The 25,250-nt window shown below is 42.0% G+C and overlaps 1 long non-coding RNA gene across 1 annotated transcript in view; it reads left to right on the top strand.

Annotated features, from left to right (window-relative positions):
• LOC101928392 (uncharacterized) overlaps nt 1-5,406 on the top strand; it is a 30,379-nt gene extending 24,973 nt beyond the window's left edge. The window contains exon 3 of the long non-coding RNA NR_188569.1: nt 5,018-5,406. This is a non-coding gene — a long non-coding RNA (uncharacterized LOC101928392). The remainder of the gene's footprint in view (nt 1-5,017) is intronic.
• The last annotated feature ends 19,844 nt before the right edge of the window (nt 5,407-25,250 follow it).

Here is a 25,250-nt window from a genome sequence, read left to right as displayed (position 1 = left end):
TTTTATCTCTTCCCGCACTTATTTTTCCAAACTATTTTAAAGTAAATCTTAGATCCTTTCCCCTGTAAAGAGCTCTGCATAGAGCGCTAACTGATAAAGACTTTTGTTTAACCACCTTCCCATTTTCACACTAAAATTATCTTAATGTTACATTATGCATTGTAACACACACACTAATTATCTTAATGTCATCACTGTGCAATTATTATTATTATATTTTGAAAATGCAAGTATGATCAGATTCCTCCAGGTGTACCCCATCTTCTCTCCTTCACAACCATACCCACTCTCTACACAGAGGCAAAATGTAATACCACCTGCTCCTTCCGCCCCCACCCCCAAACCCCTGCTTTTTCCTCCACGCTCTGGGCACATTCCTTCTGGAGTCCCTGAAATAACTTCCTCAGTCCCTCCCTGCTCAGCACTCCACCTGGCTGGCTCCTTTCCCTGTTCTCCCCAGAGCCAGCTCCTTCTCAACCTTCAGGCCTCAGCTCTAGGTCACCTTGGCAGAGGGGCCTTTCCTGACTGTCCACGCAGGACCCTAGCTGCCATTTTTGCTCCTCTACTGTGATGAGTGCTCATATGTCTCTGAGCACTCATCACAAAGCTGAGGTTTGCAGCTTGCTTCTTGCCTGTCCCCATCATTGACCGGAAAGAGCTGGGTCTGTTCTATTCACTAGCCTTGTCCTGGGGTTGAGCTCAGGGCTTGGGAGACAGCGGCAGCCCACACATATTGTTGAACAGAAAGGAACAATGAAACCATGATCTTACCCCCTGCTTCCTGCTCATTCCCATCTTATCTTCCAGCATCTGTTCTTGCTTCTCCTCCAAACTGTACGGTCTTTCACCTCCCTCTCAACGGCCCACCTGTCCTTCACCACATCTTCTCCATCCCACAAGATTCAGATAAGGTGAGCCCTCCCTTGGGAAGTCTGAGCTGCCTCTTTCCTCACTTCCCTCACCAAGTTCATTGTATCATTCGTGCATCTCTCACCCTCATGACATGCTGTGCTCCTTGAAAACCCGTGTTCCTGTCCTACTCATCTTTGTAGTCCTGCACAATGCCTGGAGCACAAGCCTGGGATCTCCATCAAGTTTTTAGGACCAAACCAAGGAATTATTCAGGGTTGGAAGGCAGAGTTAAGCCTAAAGGGCCAGGGAATGCAGAGTAAATAATATAGCAGGGATCAAGGACAGGGCCCAAGGACATAATGGAACGTCATACCAGGAAGGTTTGGATCAGTTATTGAGATCTAAATGCTGAACAAGTGAGAAGCTCCCAGGCTTCCATTTAAGGATGTGTCACATGTGATCTCGGGGAGATGAAACCCTTGAAACAAACCTAGAATAATCAGAATATAAGCTCCACTAGGAAGAAGCTTCTCTAGGGGAGGAATTTTTATCTGTACCATTCACTGCTGTATCTACCATGCTTGGTACATAGTAGGTGCTCAACGAAGATTTCTTGAATGAATAAATAAATGGATAAATAAACTCAGGGCTGGATGAAGACAAAGCAGAGATACAAACTGGAGACAAACAGAGGCAGGATAATAGCTATTTCCTCAGCAGCCATGGGAAGCGCCTAAGAAACAAGACACAAACCTGCCAACCCTATGATGGTCAATATCAAACCTACTTCATTTAAACTTGTATTTCCAATACCCAACAGTCTCTGGCTCCGAACAGTGCTCAAAAATTTGTTGTGGAATACATGGCTGCTTTTGCAAGATGAATGCCAGCATTATTTAGCTTCAAATGAATTAGAGTTTTCAATGCTCTTCATGTCTTTAGTGAAAATTCTATATTAGTTCAATTTCTAAGTTTTTGTTAGCTCCGTTTTTAAGTGTTGGATCAATTCCAACTTATCAAGGTCAGAGTTGTCATTAGAGCATCTGCTTTGCTAACATGAGTGTGTTTATATTTTATTGAGCTTTCTATTTTTACAAGCCTGACATACTAGTACATGCCAGGCCATGTCCAGATCAAGAAACTATAAATGCAACAGCAGCATCTTATGAGCTATTAATAGATTGTCAATGAGGAAAGAAGAGAGGTTTTGAAGATACATAGATTTGGCAAATTTTACATTAAACAAAGAATTATTCAGTGCAGGATTGCTCAGAGCCTTTGTTGTATTAATGTGAAATTATGATTCCACAAAGAGAGGGTGTCAGAAGATGTAGTTCTCCAAGTTGTTTATTGGCAGAACCCTATGTTAGGTGTTTTTCATGGGACACCATTTAGCAATTCTGAGGTTATTGTTCCCAGAGCATGGCTTAGAAAATGCTGTTTTCCCGAATACCAAACCATGAAGCTTTTTGCATTTTCCAAACCACTTAGTTTGCTTAAATAACTGTTCTACCATAATTAAGGGAGGTGTGCAGTTATTCACACTTCACACCCACTCCTCTTAAGAACAGAAGCACAAGAATCCAGAGAGATTGGGCTTTGATATGAGCTTGACTTAGTACAAATTACAGCTTTCCCACTTAACAAATTGTATAATATCCTACAAATTAATTACTTCTTAGCTTTAGTTTTCTCATCCATAAAAATAAGAACAATGACAGCACAGTAGACAGATGCCATAGTCATCATGGTCAGTGATATCTTTGACAGGGTATGGCAAGGCCTGGCACAGAGGAGGTAATAATTCATTCATGGAGTATCAGGCACAATGGACACTCTGGATGCAGCTATAAACAAAACAGACTGAAGTCCCCTGCCCTTGGGAGATACTAGCCCAGCAGTGATAGATAGAAAGGTAGACAGAGGTGGACAGGACTCCCCAGCTAGTCCCCAAAGTGCAGCCAGGGTGGACACCAGAACTCTAGGGCAACATGGGAAGTCTCTGGCCAAGTTCCTGGTGAAAGGAAAGCTATGAATTGTCCTGTTGCCAAGACCCGCCTGAATGCTGCCTGTGCACTGTCGCTATAGCCTAATTAGTGGCAGAGCATGCCTTGATCCCTCCCGCTCCCCAGTATGATGGGGGCTCAGAACAGCAGAACAGCTGTGCAGCCTCACACTACAGTGTCTTTGGACACACACGCCAGCCAGCCCCATAGTGAGGACCAAAGACACAAGGAGATCATTTCCGGTCAAATTCATCAATTGTAATGAAATCTCCACGTTTGCTGCTAGAGACTGATCCCACAGATACTTGCAGATGATAAAGCCAGACCAGGAGGCTAGAGCCCCGTTTATTACGAAGAGGCTCCTGCAACTTTTTGAAACGGCAACCCACACCTCGATGAGCAGATGCTCTATGCTGTTTTGTACTTGTCTCCCAATGATGGAGCCAAATGATCCACCGAGCTGCCTGTATCTTCTCTATTACCTGCCTGCCTGGAAGATGGAGAAGTTAGTCTCTAACTGCACTTGATTTTTCTCCTTCTGCTTGCCTCCCTCCCATGGCAGCTTTCTTACAGGCACTGGGCATTTAATTGTACATGCCACTATTCGTCGTGCCCAGAGCTCAAGCAGGGGCTGCTGGCCCTAGCTTCTTCACGCTACAGGCTGAGCGTGCTCTCATTCCTGTCCCATCGGCTTCATGAATCATAGTTCATGTTCTCATAATTATCTCATGTTTTGGGCTCAAGAGGGAGATCCTAGCAAGCTCAAGAAGAAGGTGAAGTTTTTAGTCTGCACCAAATGAGGAACACAACTGTGCATACTTCCTTTGTATGTCAATTAGCAGCATATGGTGAGAGCCAAACACACTAATAAAGTTATAAAGAAATATAGGGGTTAGGGAGACAGATGCTTCCTCATAGGTGCCGGCAAGAGCGCATGCTGTTAACGTTGCAATTTCCCAAACAGATTGTCTGAACACCTGCAGATGTTCAAGAGCCCTCCTACTCTCAAGAACTCTCCTTGGTGTCTCTTTCAACAAGATCATCATAATTCAGGGAAGGGTATGGTGTTTAGGGTGGAGAGGCTATGTGACAAGTTTCATCTCACACCTGGGGTTGGCTGGAGTGCTGTGTTGAGAAGGATTCTGAGGCTGCACTTGGGCTCAGCGGGAACAAAGACAGTGTTCAGTTATTATGTTTGTCACAAAGGGGCACGGAGCAGGAAAACGCATGTGCACCCATTGGACCTGTCTGCGAATGGAAAGAGCCCTCACTGAGAAACTGAACATCTTGCGGTCCTGAGGAAGTCATTCCCTTTCCTCAGCCTTGGTTTCCTGATCTGTAAAATCAAGATGGTGATAATATTTCCATTACGGTGTCATGGTAAAGATCAAACCGATGAAGTGTGTAAAAAGTCTTTGAGAACTAGAAGGCATTATGCAAATAGGAGGTAATATACTTGTAAAAATATCTATGTATGCACCTGAGTGTATGTGTGTGCTTGCTTTTCTAATGCTCTAGAGAGAGGTTCTGAACCTTGGCACTTTGACATTTTGTATTGGATCATTCTTTGTTAGGAGGGGCTGGCTTCTGCCTTGGCCTCCACCCACTCAATGCTGGTAGCACCACACCCCTCAACAGTTATGACCATCAAACATGTCTCCCAGACATTGATTACCAAATACCTGCTCAAGGAAAAATTGCCCCCAGTTGAGAGCCACTGGCCTAGCACAGTAGTTTCTCCTCTGGCTGCACAGTAGACTGACCTGGGGGGCTTTTATAACTACGTCAATGGCAGGCTTCAAGCTCCAACCAGGAAGCTGGTATTTTATTGGCCAGGGATGGGTGGGGCATCAACAGTTATCCCAAGGTGATTCCAATACACATTGCAGAATGGACAGCCTTTCACAAAAGAAGGAAGGAATCCTTTCTGAGAGAACATAGGTTCTCCTCTCTGGAAAGCTACAATCCCATGGGTTCCCCAGCTGTGTCTAAGACTCGAAGCCACATGCTCTTCTAGGGAAAGGCCAGGGGTCCTTCCTGTGGGGAGAAATCAAGAAGGTTCCCCATGCCCCAAACCAATATGCAATGTCCTTCCTCCATTTAACCACAAGAATTTTATTTTTTTTTAATGAGTCTATGAGCAACGTATTCTTTCACAGATGACTGAGAGAATGTGACAAAGAAGATAATGAAACAGGATGGATATCCATGCACATCCATCTTGAAGCAACTTTTCAAAGACAATGGAAGCCCTAACATCCCTTTGATGAAACGAAGCTACACAGAAACACAGCAAGTAACATATGACTGGGTACAAATGGTAAAATTAAAGGCAAACATTGTTGATGAGCTCACTAGAGCTTGAAGTATGGAAGCACAATATTAGCCTTGGAGGAAAATAACTTCATTGAAATATGTCCTTCCTGCCACACAGCTTTGCTAAGATTCTGAAAGCATTCTGTCTCTTTCAGCCTCTGGCTGTCTGTCACTAGGCATTTTCAATACAACGAACAGAGAAGAGAGTTTGGGAATGAAAGTAAAGGATAATTGAAGTCTTGCCTTGATCTATTGTTACAACCGAATAAGCAGAGACAAATACACGGTCCCTGCTTAGACCCTCATGGAAGCCCTTTAGCCCCTGGGGCCAGTGAAACAGTCAGTCCGTCAGCATATACATACAGGACACCCACCATAAATAAGTCACCACGCTACGCTCTCCAGGGGATACAAAGATGGATAAGATGTAGATCCTGACTTCTAGCTGTTTGTAGTCTAGTTAGGGACCTATAAAGACATAATCAATAATCCTGCACGGCCTGAGCTTAAGTCCAAATGAATGACATCAAAGAGAGACACCAAGCTGGGGGGTTTCACAGGAAACCAAGTAAACATTGGACATAGAGACCCAGCAATGCAATCAGTCCCTCGGCATTTTTTCTCATGAATTGATGTGCACGGGGCTGTTAGTCTCCTGAATGAAGGAGGAAAGCACCCAGCCGAGAGTCATGTGACAGAAAAAGCTGGAATGATGCCTGTCTCCTCCTTGGACACAGCAATCAGCTGTGTCCCTGTGTAAGAGATGGTGGGGGTGGAGGAGGCACAGTCAGAAGCAAAGGGGGTGAGACAGAGGGTAAGAGGAAAGGGTCACCTCCTCTCTCTGAGTGGTGAACAATGGCGAGACCAGCAGGGACTTGTGGAGGGTGCAGAGAAGGTGAAGCTCTTGTCGTTTGCCATGGAGCAGAAGCAGGCTTCGAGGCAGACCTTGATTTTTCAGCAGAGAAAACAGGATCTCAGTATGTGGCAAGGATATGACCAGGGTGCTGCCAGGAAAGCAGCATGAGACTGTACATGTGTGGATCCTGTGTGTCCCCTTTGGGGATTGCTGGACATATTTGGCTTGTCTTTTAGGGATCTGTCAGCAGATACCTTCATTCTGAGCTTGGGAGCTGGGGGAATGCTCTATGATACTAGTGGATGGGCAAAACGAAGGTAACTAAGCAGAAAACACATAGGAGGAAAGCCTGCTTTGAATATGTTTGCCTGTAAAACTATCTGTGAGGCAAGCAGTACTGTAAATAATCAGCACTACACAGGCTGAGACCAACATGTCACTAGGACCAAGCCCCTGAAATCTCTCTCGGCCAAGGAGGTTGTGCTGGAATCATGACCCCTAGCCCTGGGGGTGTCAAGGAGCCTGATCTGGTGCCTCCTGTCACCAGTGAGGCTTCGCTTAGGCCACTTGAGACTCCAGGGGGGACTTTTGGATTGTTGCTATGGGGTTACCGCGTAGTCTAAGCCCCTTTGTCCACTTGGGGCTGCCACTTAGTCCAGGCCCCTTTCTCCACTACCTCTTAACTGGTCTTCTTGCGCCAAGAGCATATGCTTCACACAGCAGCAGAGTAAGCCTTTTGAAACTCCAATTAGACCGCAGCACTGCCCTGCTCAAAAAACTTCCAGTGGCTTTCCTTCTTACTTATGGTGAAATTCACATTTCTTTCCACACCCATTTGCTCCACAGCGTCTACCCTGCTTCCTTCCCAAACTTTTCCGAACTCTGTCTTGCTCATTTCACTCCAGTGCCAATGGCTCTGGACCTCTAACCCATTTTCTACCCAAGAGTCTTTGCACTTGTTGCCAACATATTATTCCCCATATATCTTATAATTGTTCCATCTCCTCATTCAGGTCTCTACTCAAATATTATGTCTCCAGCGAGCCCCTCCCTGACCAAGTTCCCTAAAGAAGCCCCATTGCTTTCTAGCTCTTTATCCTAATTAATATTTCTTCATAGCACTTACCTCCCAAAATCACATTATAAATTTACTTAAGAGTTTATTGTTTCTCTCTCATATTAGAATATAAACTCCAAGAGGACAATCTATGCCCGGAACCTAGAATAGTGCCTGCCACATACTAAGTGCACAATAAATACATATTCAATGAAAGATTGAACAACAACCTCTTCCAAAACTATCAGACAAATTGCTGAGAGCTCTCATCCCCCTTTTGAAGGAAGCCACTAACATGCATTGAGCTTCGTGGCTACAGAAGCTCCCCAGGACTTTTGGTCCTAACTGAACAGTCCTGTTTGTTCCCCAACCATCCCAGCATGCATCAGCTCTGGTGGTTTATTAGCTATTTTTGTTTATTTGCTTTTGCTTCTCTCTGCCCAGGTGAGTATCATCCCCACAAAACAAGAATCCTGCCTGGTTTGTTAACTGCTACAACCTCAATGCCTGGCAAAGAACAGATGCTCAGTAAATATTTGCTGGATATAAATCCAGCTAAGCCAAGATTCCATTGGTTGGTTAATATTTTGCACCCAAGGGCCAGATCTTACATTTACTATTATTAAATATTATTGTGTTAGATTCAACTCATCATTCCTGTCCACTCAAATCTTTGAGATCCTGCTTCTGTCATTCAGCATATCACCATCCCTGGCTGTCTATGGAAACTTCATAAAGCTGCTGCCACATCTTTTCCAAGCCAGTGACGACAATAGCAGACAAGGGCTGTCTGTTCCTGCAGACAACCCTCTTCCTGCTTCCTTTGTCTCATTGCTGATCAAGTTGTAAAACTCAGGGTTTAGCCCTGGCCCCCTCCTCTACATACCGCCCTTTTGCTACCCCACTCTCCAAAAGGAGGAGGCACAAAATACACTATGGGCTTGGGAACAGGCTAGACCAAGGTTTGAATCCCCCATTCTTCACTTATTCGCTTTGTAAATGCTGTTAATTCCCTTTGCTTCTTGCATTTCAGTTTCCTTCATCTGATACATAGAGATAAACTTAGTACCTCTAGAAGTATTGTGTGGACTCAACGCAGTGACAAAAAGTACCCAGTCCCATGGCAGGCACTTGAGAACTGTGTGATCTATGTGAATTTAAAACAAAACAAACAACTCTGGCAGAGGACAAATTTGGAAACAAGAGAGGAGAGTGAAATCCAGATATTTCACTAAGACGTTTCTAAGACAAAGCGGAAAAAAAAAAAAAAAAAAAAAGCCCAGTACCTCTACAAAATAGTCTCCAATCAAAGGTCATGTAGACAGTTGTGGCCACTGGTTTAATGTTCTCATTAAAGTCCCCATGCATCCATGTACCTGAAGAAGGGTTGTGGGGCTTGCACATGGAGGACAAAAAAAAAGCTGTGAAGCGCATGGGAACACAGCCATACCGGTGGACAGGGCCAACTGGCAGGCCCGTGACTCCTCACTCCGCCCCGCCGTCCTTATAGCACCTATTCAGCACGCTCACCCACCTGGCATTTCTGCATGTACCTAAGACTCATTTAAATAATGGGGCAAACGGTTAAGATGGGGAAATAATCATTAAAAGCTCAGGGAAAGGTATGCAAATAGAAAACTCCACAAACGTGGAGGAGGCTGGGAGAACAAAGATAATCAAAAGCATTATGGACACACCCCAGGTGTGCGCTCACTGGGAGCCTGAGTGGGTGCCAGGAGGGGAGGAGGGGCAGCCCCTGCCTGCTCAGGGTCTTATATCTGATTTTATTTATAAGACTGCTGTCTCTCTTGAGCTCCAGAGAAGCCTGGCAGATGGAGCTCAGCCATCTTTGGGAGTGGACGAAAGTGTAAATTAGGTGTTTCCCATAATGTCTCTTCTCAATACCTTTCTGACACTATGTTCACCCTGATAAGGCAGCCCCAGAGATGCGTTAAAAATGACGTCAAATGTCACTGCGCCTCGGCTCAAAGCTCTCAGTGGCTTTCCCCTTCCTCAGAATAAAGGCTACCCTCCTTTCCCTCCAGCTAAGACTGGCCCTCTGACTTCAGCCCCACCCTCCTTCCTGGCTCTGTCTAGCCTATTCTGCTCTTTGCAGATCCATAAACCCACCCCCAGGGCTCTCATCTCAGCTCTTTGCTCATTTCTCTCTCTCCTCTTTCAGTCTCGGCTCAAATGTCTTGGTCTTTTAGAGCCTTTCTCTGTTCATGCAGACTAACTGCAAACCCTCCCTCCTCCTGACTCTCCCTTTCCTGGGTTTGTCTTTCTTGGCACTGACCACCATCTAATATAACTCATATTCTGCTTCTTACTTTCACAATCTCTCTCTCCTAACTAGAACGTAAGCGCAATGAGGACAGGGCATTTGGTCTGTATCTCCACTGCTATCTCCCTAGCATTGCCAACTTTACCTGGCACGTGGTGGGGACTTAATAAACAAAGATTTGTTGAATGAATGTCTTTTTGTGGAGTAAAGCTATACAAGTTTCTCCCTCTTTTTCTTTTTTCTATCTCATCACCTGCTGAGCTAAAGGAGCTAATTCCTGATGAAAAGCGTATGTGCTGCACCTGGCACAGGATACATACTTAACAATTATTGGCTGACATTATGACTGGACAAGTTTAACCTCTGTAAAGTGAGCATGGGTAGCAATGCTATCCTCATTGTGGTGCTCAAGGAGAAACTGAATGAAGATAGTGGCAGAGAGCAAGGCCCGGTTTGGTGCTACTGGCACAAGAAGGAACTGGGAGCAGGGCTGAACCAGTGGGTGGGACCCTCAGACGTCAGGCAGAAAAAGCTGAGAAGACAGATGGTACAAATTATAACAAGGGTGACTTACTCTAGCCTGTGGTCATTCAAACTACAGGAATAGCCATGCCAGAAGTTGCGTGCATCTTGGTTACAGCTAACTATAGATGGCGATCCCTTCCTACCTCCATCCCTGTTCCCCAAGGAAAACCGTTTTCTCATCACCCAAGTAAGTAAGGCCCAGTGCTGAGTCTGATTCCTACAGGGGCTCCCACTCTAGGCAGGCTACATGGATTGGCACATCCAATATGTTGAGCCACATTTCCCAAAGGGCAGCCAGTTGCATGCTATAGAGCTGACGGCAATAAAGGTAGGTGCATAAGTGGACACCAGCCCCTTACCAACACCGTCGTTATACACAGAACCTCGGACAGGCCTCACGGGCTCTGCATGGACTGGTCCCTGGCCCTGTTGCTCCCCTCCCTTCTCAGGGCTACAGTCACACTAGCACCTCCAGTTCTTTGAGGGCCTTTTGTCTGGACACTCTTTCCCCTCTCCGGCATCTGTTCACCTCCCTTTCCTCTTTTAGGTCACATGTCTAATGCCCTCTCCTGACAGAGGCTGTTTCTCCCTTTCCAGGGCTAAGTCTCCCACTTGCAAAACCTTCCCTTTGTTGCATCATATAGGCATATTGCAGGCAGTGTGTGTGTGTGTGTGTGTGTGTGTGTGTCATTATAAATTAGTTAATGAGAATCTCACTCATTGGAACCCATCTTCCCAGAAACAAGCCTAAATCCTCTCAGTATCATTATCCTCAATTTATCATCTCTTCTCACTCTGTTTTCAGGCTCTCCATCAAGACAACAGTGGGTCCCAGCAGTTACACTCACAACATGCTCTCCAGACATTTGCAGTCCTGATTTTTAGCCTTGCTCGAGTACCCAATATCTCTCTCCGAACTTACCTCAAAAGCATGTCTTTAGCAGTATCTGCTGACTACCCCATCTGCAAAGCAGTCCCCTTCCCATCATTAGCTGTAGCCTTCATAATCCTGCTAATCCTCAAAAGCTGGTCCTTAGACTACGAGCAGTAGTATCACCTGAGAACTTGTTAGAACTGCAAAACCTCAGCTTAACCCCAAACTGAGTAAGCCAGAATTTGCATTTTAACAGGGTTCCCCAGACCACCAGTATGCATATGAAAGCTTAGAAACAATTAGAGCACTTCTCACAGTCTATCGTTATCTAATTTATTTAATAGTCACCTATCTCACTTTCCACCAAAAGGAAAGTTCTATGAAGGCAGGGAATTTGTCCTGTTTATCATTGTATTTCCACTGCATAGCAGAGTAACTGACACATGGTAGGTGCCAAATAAATATGAATGATTTAACAAATAAGTAAAAGAAAGAATGACTGAATACATTTCCAGTTTCTTCAAACTCTAAAGATTTATGATCAGTGGCCATCTCTTTCCAGTTCCTTTTCCTTCTCCCTGTAGGCTAAGTTGAGCCCACCTGCCTTCATCAGGCATTTATATAACATCTCCTATGCCGAATGTCCTGTGTGTTGTTACTGGGAACAGCAAAAAGCAGTGCCTGCTCCACAAAGATCTCACAGTTTAAAAGCTTCGCTCAAAAGAAACAACTCCTTCCTTTTTTCTGACTACATCTTTGGTTTCTAACCTCCCATCTCCTGAAGTCTAAACAGTAGGTATATTTTTCAGTCCTCACTTGCCAAAGAATGGTCCACACTGTTTCTCCCCATAAAGCCTTTTTCCAACTAGATAAGTGGGTTTTTTTTTTTCAAACCTGTCACTCTTCATGCTTTTTCATCGCTAATGAGCTCTTAACCAGCTCCTGAAAATGCCGCAAGCTGTCCTGCCTCCATCAGAAAACATCAGAACCACTGATGCTTTCAGAACCACAACCTCACATATGCAATGAGCCACCTTGAGTCCCATGAACTTCCAGCCATCACAGCCCAAGCGTCCTCATTTGCTCATTTTGCGCGGCAGATTCCCTACCCTTCAGACCCTAGAGAGCTGTGTTTATGTCTAGCTTTAACCCTGGCTTCTTTGCTTTTTCTTAATTAATAGTTCCCCTAGCCCCTTTTTGCCTGATATACTCTTCTCCTTCCGTCTAAGGGGACTCCTCTTTATCCTTGGAGATACAATTTATAATGTAAGAAACTTTATTCCCACAATTTTTTACTTCAACAATAAATGAGAAAAACTATGATCACATTAGCAAAGGCTAAAACGGCATTTGATAAACTTTTATGGCCATATGTACTTTAAGTAAAAAACACAAAAAAAGTAGGAATCAAACGGAAATGTTTAAATATGATAAATACTTTTTAACAAAAAGTAACAACAAATATTAAAATAAGAATAACTTTTCATTAAAATCAGAAACTAGACAGCGATGCCCACTATCACTAACATATTAGCATGGTCTAAATGGTTCCAGCCAAGGTAATAAGATAAGAAAAATTAAATAAGGAGCCCAAAACTGGAAAAGAGGAGAAAAAATTCTACTTTTTTGGCTGATGATTTGATTGCATATGTAGAATGCCCATACAAGCTAACTTTTAAAATCCTATAATTAGTGAGAGTATTTGATAAGGTTTAATGATATAAGAAGAATCTAAGAGGAAAATAGATTCTCTAACTAGCAATAAGTACCTAAAAATGGAAATAATTTTAAAATTTACAACAGTGAAAAAATGATACAAAGGTAAATTGATGTATTTATTAATTATTGAGATGGAGTCTCCCTCTGTCGCCCAGGCTGGAGTGCAGTGGCCTGATCTCAGCTCACTGCAACCTCTGCCACCTTGGTTCAAGTGATTCTCTTGCCTAAGCCTCCCAAGTAGCTGGGATTACAGGCACCTGCCACCACACCTGGCTAATTTTTGTAGTTTCAGTAGAGACGGGGTTTCATCATCTTGGCCAGGCTGGTTTTGAACTCCTGACCTCGTGATCCACCCGCCTCAGCCTCCCAAAGTGCTGGGATTACAGGCATAAGCCACCGCACCTGGCCAAAAAGGTAAAATTTAACAAGAAAGCCATAGAACCTATATGAATAAAACTATAAAAGCTTATTGGAGGACATAAAACAGATTTTGAACAAATGGAAAGAAAAATTAGGTTCTTCATTAGGGAAATGTAGTATCATAAAAGTGTCAAAATTATACATATAAATATATAAAATTTAATGATACTCCTATTAAAACATGAATAGCATTTTTCTTTGCTTTGAAGGTAAAATTAACTTCAGTTCACATAGATTTGAAAATTGCTCAAGAATACTAAAATTTGCGTACACATATATAAAAGTTAAGATGAAGGATTTGCCTTACCAGACACTAAAACTCACTATGAAACCTCTCTAAACAAATCAATATAATAATAGCATAAGAATCAAAAAATTAATCAGTGGAAAAGAAGATCCAGAAATAGATCCTAATGAATATAAAGTTTCTAAATATGGCAACAGAGATATCTTCATCCAATGAGGAAAATGTAGTTTATTTAGTAAATAACCATGCCCAAATGGCTATTGGATTAAAAGAATAAGGAGGTGGACTCTCTCATACCACATAAAAAATAAATTCACATGGATTAAACAAAGCTCTCTCTATAAAAAGTTATACAAAAAATTGCAAAAAACTTATATTTACTTACACTCTAGGGGTGAAAGGCCTTCATAACCAAGAGGGGATCACTAAATTTTAAAGGGGAAACACAATGCACATGTCTATGTAAACATCAACCACAAACTATATATTATGTAACTATCAACCATAACTATATAAACATAGCTAAAGGTAACACTTTCCAAGTTAACAGAGAAATCAAAGAATTGGGAAACATTTACAATGCAGGTGGCAGATCACAGGTTAATATCTATGCTGTACAAAGAGCTCTTACAAATTGACAAAGAGAAACAATCCCACAGAAACAAAAACAAAGAATATGAATATGCAATTCACAGAATAGCAAACCCAACTCCCAATAAAGATATGAAAATATATTCAGACTTGTTGGTAGTCAAGAAATGCAAATTAAAGTAACGAATTATTATTTTGCACTCATGTCCCAGGCAAAAATTAAAAAGAGAGTTAAGACCTATTGCTGGTGGGGATGGTGGGAAAGTTCTTTTATCACTGGCAGAAATATGAAGCATTTCTGGAAACCATATGGATAAATGTATTAAAGCCAAAAATACACATGCCCTTCAACCCAGAAACAGCATTCTTGCAGTTTTGCTCTATAGAAATATTCAGAGATGTTTATTATTAGCATTTCTCAACAAGGAAAAAATATGGAAAATAGTAAACGTCCATTAGTAGTGGCATATTCATTAAGTTATAGTACATTCACACTAAGAAATATTATATTATATGATGCAGCCAAATAAATAAATAAGAATTAGAACAATTGTTGAGATTAGAACTATTGTAAAGCTCCAGATGCAAAGATGTATGCACATTATAATACCATGTTTTAACAAAACATTTTTTAAAAATCCTATGCGTGTTTGTATGTGTGTGTGGGTGTGTGTGTGTGGGTGTGCATAGATAAAAAATAATTATGTAAGAATGGAAAAAGAACAGAAAATATGCAACCGATTATAGCATGGGTTTATGGTGTGGTTGAGAGGGTCAGTTCACATGGAGTTGCAGCACTGATTAAGGTGGAGCTGAGCAGAGAGATGGCAGAGCAAAGCAAGCCCCAAAGAAAAAAAGACTGTGCTAACAAAAACATCAACAAACCAATGGGTATGATATGACTCCATTTTTGTAAAAGTGTTTGTGTATGTGTGTTGGAAAACAGAGACAGCACTTGATCTAATTTACTTCTTACAGCTTCATCCCTGCCTCGCAGGGTAACACGTATGTTATGATATTATTCAGCCAACCTAGAAACCAACTGACCCTTCTGTACTCTTGTGTATGGTGTGCAAGAGCCTGCATTCACATGTTGGTATAAAGAAAAGGGTGCGGAAATCTGTATAAACCTCAAGTGGGATGAGACAGAAGGATATAGGAAAGGGGGTATTGGTTGGGGGAGATGATTACCCTTTATGAATATATCTAGTGGTGAGCTCCTACTGACTCATAAGAGTCCATTGTTAAACACTCAGGAATTTTGCCAGACAGCTGTTAAACCTAGCTAGCCATTATAGGCTGGGCTCGATGGCTCACACCTGTAATCCCAGCACTTTGGGAGGCTGAGGCAGCTGGATCGCCAGAGGTCAGGAGCTCAAGACTAACGTGACCAGTGTGGTGAAACTCCATCTCTACTAAAAATACAAAAGAATAGCCAGGTGTGGTGGTGTGCACCTGTAATCCCAGCTACTTGTGAGGCTGAGGCAAGAGAATCACTTGAACCTGAGAGGCAGAGGTTTTGGTAAGCTGAGATCATGCCACTGCACTCCAACCTGGGCAAGAACAACCAAATTCCATCTCAGAAAACAAAACAAAAACCTAGCCATTATTAAAAATTAAATTATATAAACTTATAATAAATTATATTAAAACATGAGTCGTAAATAGGTAATACTTATGATTTCTTCATTATTTTACTATTTTTACTATTATCTGTGCTCTTGAGAATACTAAACAATGGGGTGGGACTGCACATCTTTTTCCAGCTCCGTGTTCCATAATGTCACACTGCTATTTTGAAACCAGCCATGGTGGGAGTATTTACACCACAGAAATTGGCAAGGACTACAAGCCAGGGATCAGCTTATTGTTTGGATCACTGCCTAGAGTTAAGAAGGTGATAGAGAAGATGTTCATAATGCAGATTAAAATTAAAAATGGGTGTGTCTGTAGCGGTTATATTGTGAATAGCCTAAAATGTTGAGAAAGTATTTTTCAGGTTATTAAAATTTACTACCCAATTCAGCAAAGCTGTGCCTAATGTCACTGATGAATAAGTAATGTTCTGACATGTTTCCATTGTTTCACTTTTGTCTTACATAATATTATAGCATTATCTTATACCTTTGTTAACCTAAATGAAAATATCAACCAACATTCATGTCCAACATATACTTGCTTGTTAATTGCAACTATCATTTGGCTATGGATGCAAGAGTTTGGTAAAAGTCAGCAAAAGCATTCTGTGAGAATTCAACTGTCTATACACATGGGATTTATAGTAAAGAATATTCGTATTTTATTTTTATTTATAAAGCACATGCTATATACATCCCCACTTATAATAAGCGATGTCTGTAAATATCTATTTTTCTCAGAGAACTGGTTGTCAAAAATTTACCAGCTCACCACTGCTTGTATCACTTATCATTATAAGCATGTGCACTTAAAAAATATATAAATAAAAGGAAAATCTTAAATAATTAAATGGCATCTCCTCTGAGAAGCTTTTCCTGGTTCCTTCAGTTCTCTGTGCTCGGTACTCCTGCAGCATCATTATGTAGCTCTTCGTCTGTTGCATTTGCCCTCGGAGTAGAGACTGTGTCCAGTCTTTTCTCTCACAGGGCCACCTCACCCAGAGTAGCTGCCTGGTACATGAATCCATCAATCAACTGGGTAATCAGAATGAGGAAGGTGCATATGACAGAGGTCCAGAGACCAGATTTGAACAGGGAAATGTGGGCCAGCTTCCCTCAAAATGCTTGCTTGGGACCCAAGGGGATTGGCAGCAATTGAACTTTCAACCAGAATTCTGTAGCTGAGCTTGAATTCTTTATACATTCATTGCATCAACCGAATTTTCAGCTCCTGCATTGTGAATATGCACAAGGATGTGTACACTGTCTTTGTTTCTTTACCTGCCTTGTTTTTATCATCCTCATTTTCAGGGTGTAAAAGTTACTCCATAAATGAAGATACAATCTCATATTCTTGACAGCAAAAGATCCTGGCCCCTATTAGGATTTATCTTATCTCTAGTTGATGGGTAGACTGAAAAAAACTCAGTGGGAAGGTACGTCTTGACCTCTGAGGGTCTGTGTGCTGCAGCCGATATAGGTAACCATGACAGGGAGTAGAGATAGGCTGAGAATTACATTCCTACAGAGAAAAAATAAACATCTTTATTTTTTCAAATGAAAGCATTCCTCTCAGTGTGGGGTGTAGTATTGTGCAGGGGCTTTGAGCCTGGAGTTGTCAGAAGGCTCTGCCCTCAAACATTAACCCTGCTGTCGATTAGCTGGTGGCCTTGGGCAGCGTAGTTGACCTTGGTGGACCTCAGCTTCTTCATCTATGTAACTGGGATTGTAATTGCATTGTGCCTTTCACTTGTTGTGAAGACTAAACACAGGCTGTGAAATGAAAGCCTATGTACACACAAAGACGTGTGCATGGGTCTTTGCAATAGCTTTATGTGTAAATAGTCAAATGCTGAAAACAATCCAGCTGTCCACCAACGTGTGAATGGATAGACAAATTGTGGTACATTCATATAATGGAATACTACTCAGCAACAAAGAGGAATAAACTGTTGATATGCACCATCACATGACAAATTTCAACATAATTATGTTGGGTAAAAGCAGCCAAACCAAAATTTTATCTGTATAATGTTCCAGAAAATGTAACTATAGTGACAGAAAGCAGATTAGTGGTTACCTGGGGACAGAACTGGGGAGTAGGGGAGACTGGAAAAAAGAAGGGAGTAGAAAGAGGTATAAAGAAACCTTTCAGGGTGATACATGTGTTCATTATCTTGATTGTGATCATGGTTTCATGGGTGATTTGTATGTCGATACATTAAATTGTATACTCTAAATATGTACAGTTTATTAAATAGCAATTATACTACAATAAAGCAGTTAAAAAGTTTACAGAGTAGGCACTACTCTGTAGTGTGGCACTGTGGCTCACGCCTGTAATCCCAGCACTTTGGGAGGCCGAGGCGGGCGGATCATAAGGTCAGGAGATTGAGACCATCCTGGCCAACATGGTGAAACACCGTCTCTACCAAAAATAGAAAAATTATCTGGGCATGCTGGCGCATGCCTATAATCCCAGCTACTCGGGAGGCTGAGGCAGGAGAATCTCTTGAACCAGGGAGGCGGAGGTTGCAGCGAGCCGAGATCATGCCACTGCACTCCAGCCTGGCAACAGAGCAAGACTCCATCTAAAAAAAAAAAAAAAAAAAAAGATCAACAAATGGTGGCTGTTAGGGTGCAGATGAGGATGAAAAATCTGACCATGATGACAATGACGATATTCCTGCTGTTGTCACTCCTGGGAGAGAATACTACTTCTTGACCACACTCTTTTTCTCTTCCTCCATTAATCACTTTGACCAGCTAAGGCCCATTGTCATTCTTATCTCCTCAGAGCTCTAGTAGGCATTCCGTTTTCTGACAGCCAATATCCTCTCTGGCTCAAGACACTTCATTGTACACCATTTGAAAGCCTTGACCAGGGGTTCAGGCAGACATGGGCTGACATTTGCTTTATTACTTGCTAACTTGGACAAGCCTCATCATTCTAGTCTGTGAACTGGGGATGGTAAAAGCAGCGATATTGTTGGCACACTTAGAGGAAGGAGCGCAGGGAAAGCCCCGAGACTCATAGAGTCAGCGTTCAATGTGTAGCACCTCAGTAACTTCTATTCCATCTCCTGTTGATTGGGTTATTCAGGAGCTGCTAAGCAGCATCCTCTTCTCCTCCTGAATTCTGAACAAATTGAGACATAAGATGAGGGAGAGGCAGATGGAAGGCAGCACATCGCTCTCATTCCCAAATAAGCCTAAACTGGAGGGCATTGTTGAGGTGAAAGCAAAGCTGATTTTTAGTGCAAAACCTCTAAATTTGACAGATTTATCCATGTACTAATGGCAACACTGAACTTGGGCACCCAGCCACCCAAAATGAGGGCACAGGATGTTCCAGCCTGGAAAAGAATAGAGGAATTATTCTTTTTGCAGCTCATGCACTCCTGAGAAAACAATAGGAAGTTTCTGAACGAAGAATGTTATGTTTATGACTCCTAATTTTTTTTTTTTTTAAGATGGAGTCTTGCTCTGTTGCCCAGGCTGGAGTGCAGTGGCGTGATCTCCGCTCACTGCAACCTCCACCTCCCAGGTTCAAGCGATTCTCCTGCCTCAGCCTCCTTAGTAGCTGGGATTACAGGCATGCACCACCATTCCCAGCTAATTGTTGTATTTTTAGTAGAGACGGGGTTTCATCATGTTGGTCAGGCTGATCTTAAACTCCTGATTTCGTGATCCGCCCACCTGGGCCTCCCAAAGTTCTGGGATTACAGGCGTGTGTCACTGCACTCTACAGACTCCTAAATTTGTATAGTGCAAAAATCTAGCCTCCCTCTTCCTTCAATGGTAGAGCGTGAGTAGAGGGGGAGAGAGAGCCCAGGGGTGTCAAACTACCATAGCTCCCTCCATGAAGCGAAACATCAAGAGTGAGGAGTCAACATCTGTCCTCTAAAATGCTATTTTCATTTGTGATTTTGTTGAGCAGAAGTACCACTTCCCTAACTATATGTTAAGTATGATGGCTGAGCACACAGGCAAACTAAATAAAGTGCTGAAATCAGCATTTCAAGACTCAGCACACAGAAAAGAACCTCCTCAGGGCAGCAGCCCTCTCTAAAACATCCCTGTCTGATGGCTAAAGTCACGGAGCTCACCACATCTCATACCAATTCACTACCCAGGTTGCAACCACTGTCCCAACAGATCATGTAAGTTTTATCTATAATTTCTGAATCTAAGCAAGAGTGTCCCATCTTCCATATGGAATACATTCAGTGGCCGAAGAAAGTTATCCGTATCACCCTGAAGTCTTCTGGGTTGTAGGTTACAAATATTCCATTGTTTAAATTTTTTCTCACAAATGATGGTTTCCAAAACTCCTTTTCACCTAATTCCCCTTCAGTGGGAACTCCCCTCCAAACTGTCAATGTCAATTTCCCTCCAAACTGTCAATAACCTTACAATTCTGTCACTGCAAAACAAAAGCTACAGGTGTCGTTAATCAATCAATCAATCTCAAAATAATTTAGATTTTTTTTTGGCCACCAAAAAAAAAAAAAAAAAAAAAAAAAAATTGCAAAAACCGCAATTACTTTTGCACCAACATACCACTGAATGAATCAGGTGCCCCAAATGGCGCTGTCCCAGTACAGAATCGCATGCATCCTTGCAAAGGAATGGAGGCTTACTTGGGTGTTCTGGGCAGCATCCTCACTCTGTTGACTCCTATTGAACTTGTGATCCAAAAAAAAAAAAAAAAGCCCTAAGGTATTTAATCACATCAATTACTGGCAAGCCAGGGTTTCCAAATCTTGAATTTGCACTTCTGATATTTTGAGTTGGAATTCCAGAATTCTATTTCACCCTATTACAATTCATCTTTTCAAGAGGTAGCCAACATGAGGGGATTAAGAGCACAAGCAGTCATCAGGCAGATGTGGTATAAGCTTTGGATATGATTCTATGAGCTTCTGTTTTCTCAACTGTAAAATGATAATAATAACAATACCCATGTCATGAAATCATGGTGAGAATAAAAATGAGACTATGCATGTAAATGGCTTAGCACAATGGCCGACACAAAGAAGGAAATAAATATTAGTTCACATTATTATTATGTTGAATACATAAATATTATCATGAGAGGACATGAATAAGAAGACACTTGATGGAATCACAATTTGAGAGGTGTTTATTTTAATCACTTTAGAAATGACTTTGGGGCTATGTGTATAAAACAATTGATATTCTGAATTTTTAGATAGTTTAACTGCACTTTAGGGGGTATTGTATTCTCCAGTGTACTTGAGAATTGACTAATTTGCAGATGTCACAGTGAGACAAATGTCTCCTTTCCAGTATCAAGGGTCGACCATTTAAAACCAACTACATTCAAATTAGTTCAACCATTGTGGAAGACAGTGTGGTGATTCCTCAAACATTTAGAACTAGAAATAACATTTGACCCAGCAATCTCATTATTGGGTGTATGCCCAAAGGAATATAAATCATTCTGTTATAAAGATACATACACATGTATGTTTACTGCAGCACTATTCACAATAACAAAGACATGGAATCAACCCAAATGCCAATCAATAATAGAGTGAATTAAAATATTGTGGTACATAAACACCATGGAATACTACGCAGCCATAAAAAGGAGATCATGTCCTTGGCAGGACATGGATGAAACTGGAAGCCATTATCCTCAGCAAACTAATGCAGAAACAGAAAACCAAACACTACACGTTCTCACTTATAAGGGGGAGCTGAACAATGAGAACACGTGGACACAGGGAGGGGAACATCACTCACTGATGCTTGTTGGGGGAGGACTGGGGGGAGTGAGAGAGAGCATTAGGGAAAAAAGCTAATGCATGCTGGGCTTAATACCTATGTGATGGGTTGATAGGTGCAGCAAACCACCATGGCACACATTTACCTATGTAACAAACCTGCACATTCTGCACATGTACCCCAGAACTTAAAAAAATACAAAATAAATTAAAAAAATAAAAACCAACCTACATTCTTTAGGAGCCCCTACCATTTTTCATGATGCCTCATAACCACAGTTCCATGGTCAAGTCTTTCAATGGCCTGGGTTTGAATTCCCATGGGACTGCAAATTCGGACTCTATAAAGAACTAGCTATGATTTCCCCATCCACTTGGCCCTAAGTTACATTTTATCCATAGTTGTAGTACTCTCTTTTCTGGTGTGAAGGCACTGGAAGGCCCTAAGTTATCTCTTATTCATTTTTGTAGTACTCTCCCTTTTCCAGCGTGAAGGCAGTCTTCCAAGCTGGAGAAAATAGAACTCAAATAACAGCTGGGTGGCTGAGCCTTCCCCAAGTTACACATCTCTCTCTTCCCTCTTCCTCTATCTCTCAACATTGCTATAAAGACCTTTCTTATTTAGATTTAACTTTATTGTCAGGGCCCAGCACCTTCTGGAGTATAGCCTTGGTAATAGTACAAATTGTAATTAACAAATGTGTTAATCAATTACAATTAGTCATACCTCTGGATACCCACACCCTTGGCCATGTAACTTTACAGGGTCCTCTCTATCTGGGCAGAGCAATCTGCCTGACCTCTTAATTCTGAGCTCAGCCATGTGATGTGCTTTGGCGAATGGGATAATGCAAGTTATTGTACCTGCAAGTACCACATGTACATTTCCCAGCTATCCCCCAGGAGGATGAAGGGCATCCCAATAAACTTGGCCAACCTGGCCAAGACTATCTTAGATCAACCAACAGCCATTCAACCCCCAGACAGGTGAACAAACCCAGCCAAGATCAGCAGAGCCGATTAACCAACCTGCAGCCAACCCCAGATACATGGAACACTCAAAATCAGCTAAGTCCAGTCAAGATCAGCTAATCCCTGCAGATTTCCAGGCTAAACAAATGTTAATGCCCTATGCTAATGATGCTTTATGGTTGCTTGTTACTCAGTTTTATTGTAGCAGTAGGTAACTAATACAGCCTCCCCAACACGAGCCTACAAGAATTGTGTTTAGAAGATTTGAGAGTGAAACAGGTAGGGAACCTAATTCCATTCTTATCAGCTACTCCTCACTTAAGCTTTAAGGTAGTAAAGAAAGCTAGGTGAGGCCAGTCGCAGTGGCTCACGCCTGTAACCCCAACACTTTGGGAGGCCAAGGCAGGCAGATCACAAGATCAGGAGTTCAAGACAAGACTGCCCAATATGGTGAAACCCTGTCTCTACGAAAAATACAAAAATTAGCCAGGCATGGTGGTGGGTGCCTGTAGTCCCAGCTACTGGGAGGCTGAGGCAGGAGAATCTCTTGAACCTGGGAGGCAGAGGTTGCAGTGAGCCGAGATGGCACCATTGCACTCCAACCTGGGTGACAGAGTGAGACTCTGTCTCAAAAAAAAAAAAAAAAAAAAAAAAAAAAAAAAAAGCTTAGTGAGGGACACTCTTGGTCCTCTTGGTCCTTCTGAATGATTAACATGGTTAAAAGTCCCATAAACTCAGTCCACAAGGAGTGGAATCTTGATGATTTCATTGAACATGAAAAATTATCCAATTTAACAAATAGACACCATCACTGGCAACAGAGACAACTCTCAATTTGACACTAATACACTCAAACTAGATGGCTTGTCTATTATCTGTCACCCAGAACAATTTTACCATTGTAAGCCTGCTTTTGAAATATGAAATCTTGGTAGAGTTACAACTTTCTTTGCAGCTTGGATGTTTTTTTTCTTGTGCAGAGAGCTATTTTAAATACCCCCAAACTTGTGTGGGAGTGCCAATCGGCCACATTTAATTGGCCAGATTGTTAGCCTCGGCGATGCAGCTCTCTTCAGAAAATTAAACATAGACACGATTGTTACTTTGCTCTGTTATTGTGGCTACAGAATGGCAAACCAATCTGTCGAAACTGAAAAATCCAGCCGCTCAATTATCTGTCGGGCTTACACAGCTAAATACCCCCAAAGTGGATTTTTTTTCCTACTTGAGGCACATTTTGAGTGAATATGTTGCTTTCTTGACACTGTGCATGGTCAAGGCTCAAGGTCTTCCTAACAGCCTGCCAACTGCTTAGGAAAAGGCTGGTCTTAGAAATATAGACTCTTATTCATTAATTTACTCATTTGTTCACTTAATCTGTAAGCACTGACACATACCTACTTTCTGCCAGAAACTGTGTTGGGTGCTGGGAATAAGAAAAAGTTAAATAACCATTAGTCAAATAAACAACCAGTCAGAGGTAAGGCAGGAATAGAATTTAGGTTTCTGACTCTAAAGCAATGGTTCTTAACCAGGAAGGCAATTTTGCCCTTTCCCATCAGGAGACATTTGCCAATATCTGTAGATATTTTTGATAATCATGACTGAGGTGGGGCAGGTGCTATTTGAATCTAGCAGGTAGAATCCAGGCATGCTGCTAGGCATCCTACAATGCACATGACAGCCCTCACAACAAAAGATTATCCAGCCCAAAATATAAACAAACTGGAGGTTGAAAATCCCTGCTCTCCAGCTATGCACTGAAGTAATTTCTTGAACAGCAAAGTCTCTATCAAATCCAACACTGTATCTTCTGCCTCAGCACAGGGCCAAGCACAGACATGTACTCCAGAAATGCTGGATGGATGATTGGATGAATGGATGGATATGGATGGATGGATGGATGGATGAATGGGATAGATGGATGAATGGATATAAGGATGGACAGATGGATGGATGGATGGATGGATGGATGGATGGATGGATGGATGGGTGGATGGATGGATGGATGGATGGTTGGATGAATGGATGAATAGATGAATGGACAGATAAATGGATCTCACACTCAAAGATACCATCAATAGATGTACACAATAGGTACTGAGTAAGTTGTTTAGGCCATCAGAAATTAAACAGATGTTCCTATTTTCCGCTAGAGTTTAAGTACCTTCAAGAAGGGAAACAATCTGGTAATTTTGACATGAATTTCACAGGTCTATGACTTGTGATGAATTTGGTGCTCCAGAAAAACCTCGCAGCTCTGACCTTCCTTAGCCATTTACCTCATTCCCTGTTAAACTTGGATAAGATATCCTTGGCTCTTTCTGCAAACCTTCCTGGCCTGAAATGAAGATAATCTGTCTTTTATTTTTTAACCACTGGAAATGAGGGTAGTAAATTCCTCACAACCAACATTCTATAGATTCATTTGGCCAATTCTTCTACTTTGGGTCTGAACTCATCCCTAGTAATGTACAATCTGTTTTAGATGTTAACTTTTAATGGTGTGATTTTGGCTTGTCCTTCAAACAACTTGAGTAGAAACACTGATTTAATTTTATCCCTTTCATCAATGCCAGGGAACAGAATAAATTACTCAAGAATATGTTCTTTCGCCTTTGCTTCCCCCCAACTATAAGAAATTATAAAGATATTAATAAACGTTCTAAGGTTGATCTTCTCTCTTATAGAGTGGCTGTGCACCCCCATTGTGAATAAGGTATGGGGTTGGTGCTGTGAAAGAAGGCATTCCAAGGCCACTAGGAAACTATCCCTGCCCTTTGAAAAGTCACAGTAAACAGGGGCTCTGTGAAGAGATGCTGGCAGCTGTACCTGGTGTCCAGGATAAAAAGTCAGGTAGAATCCTGAAAATTACTGACGTGTATATGACCCCTATTAGATCATACAATCCTTGGAACACAGACCAATCCTTCAATGAATATGCTTCTTCTATCCACCTTAAATTTGGTTCCTCGCTAGAAATCAGCCACGGAGAATTACATATTGGAGCAAGGGTTTGGAAAGTTTTTCTGCTTAAAGATCCAAATGAAACATATGAGTTTTGGTAACACAGGTCTGGCCAGCCAGGTTCAGCTTTCCAATTGCTTGCCTGGCCCCCTAAGACTGTGTGCCATACTTAAA

Source organism: Homo sapiens, chromosome 16 (genome assembly GCF_000001405.40).
Source record: "Homo sapiens chromosome 16, GRCh38.p14 Primary Assembly".
Taxonomy (NCBI): domain Eukaryota; kingdom Metazoa; phylum Chordata; class Mammalia; order Primates; family Hominidae; genus Homo; species Homo sapiens.
This window is presented reverse-complemented; position numbering and strand designations above follow the sequence as displayed.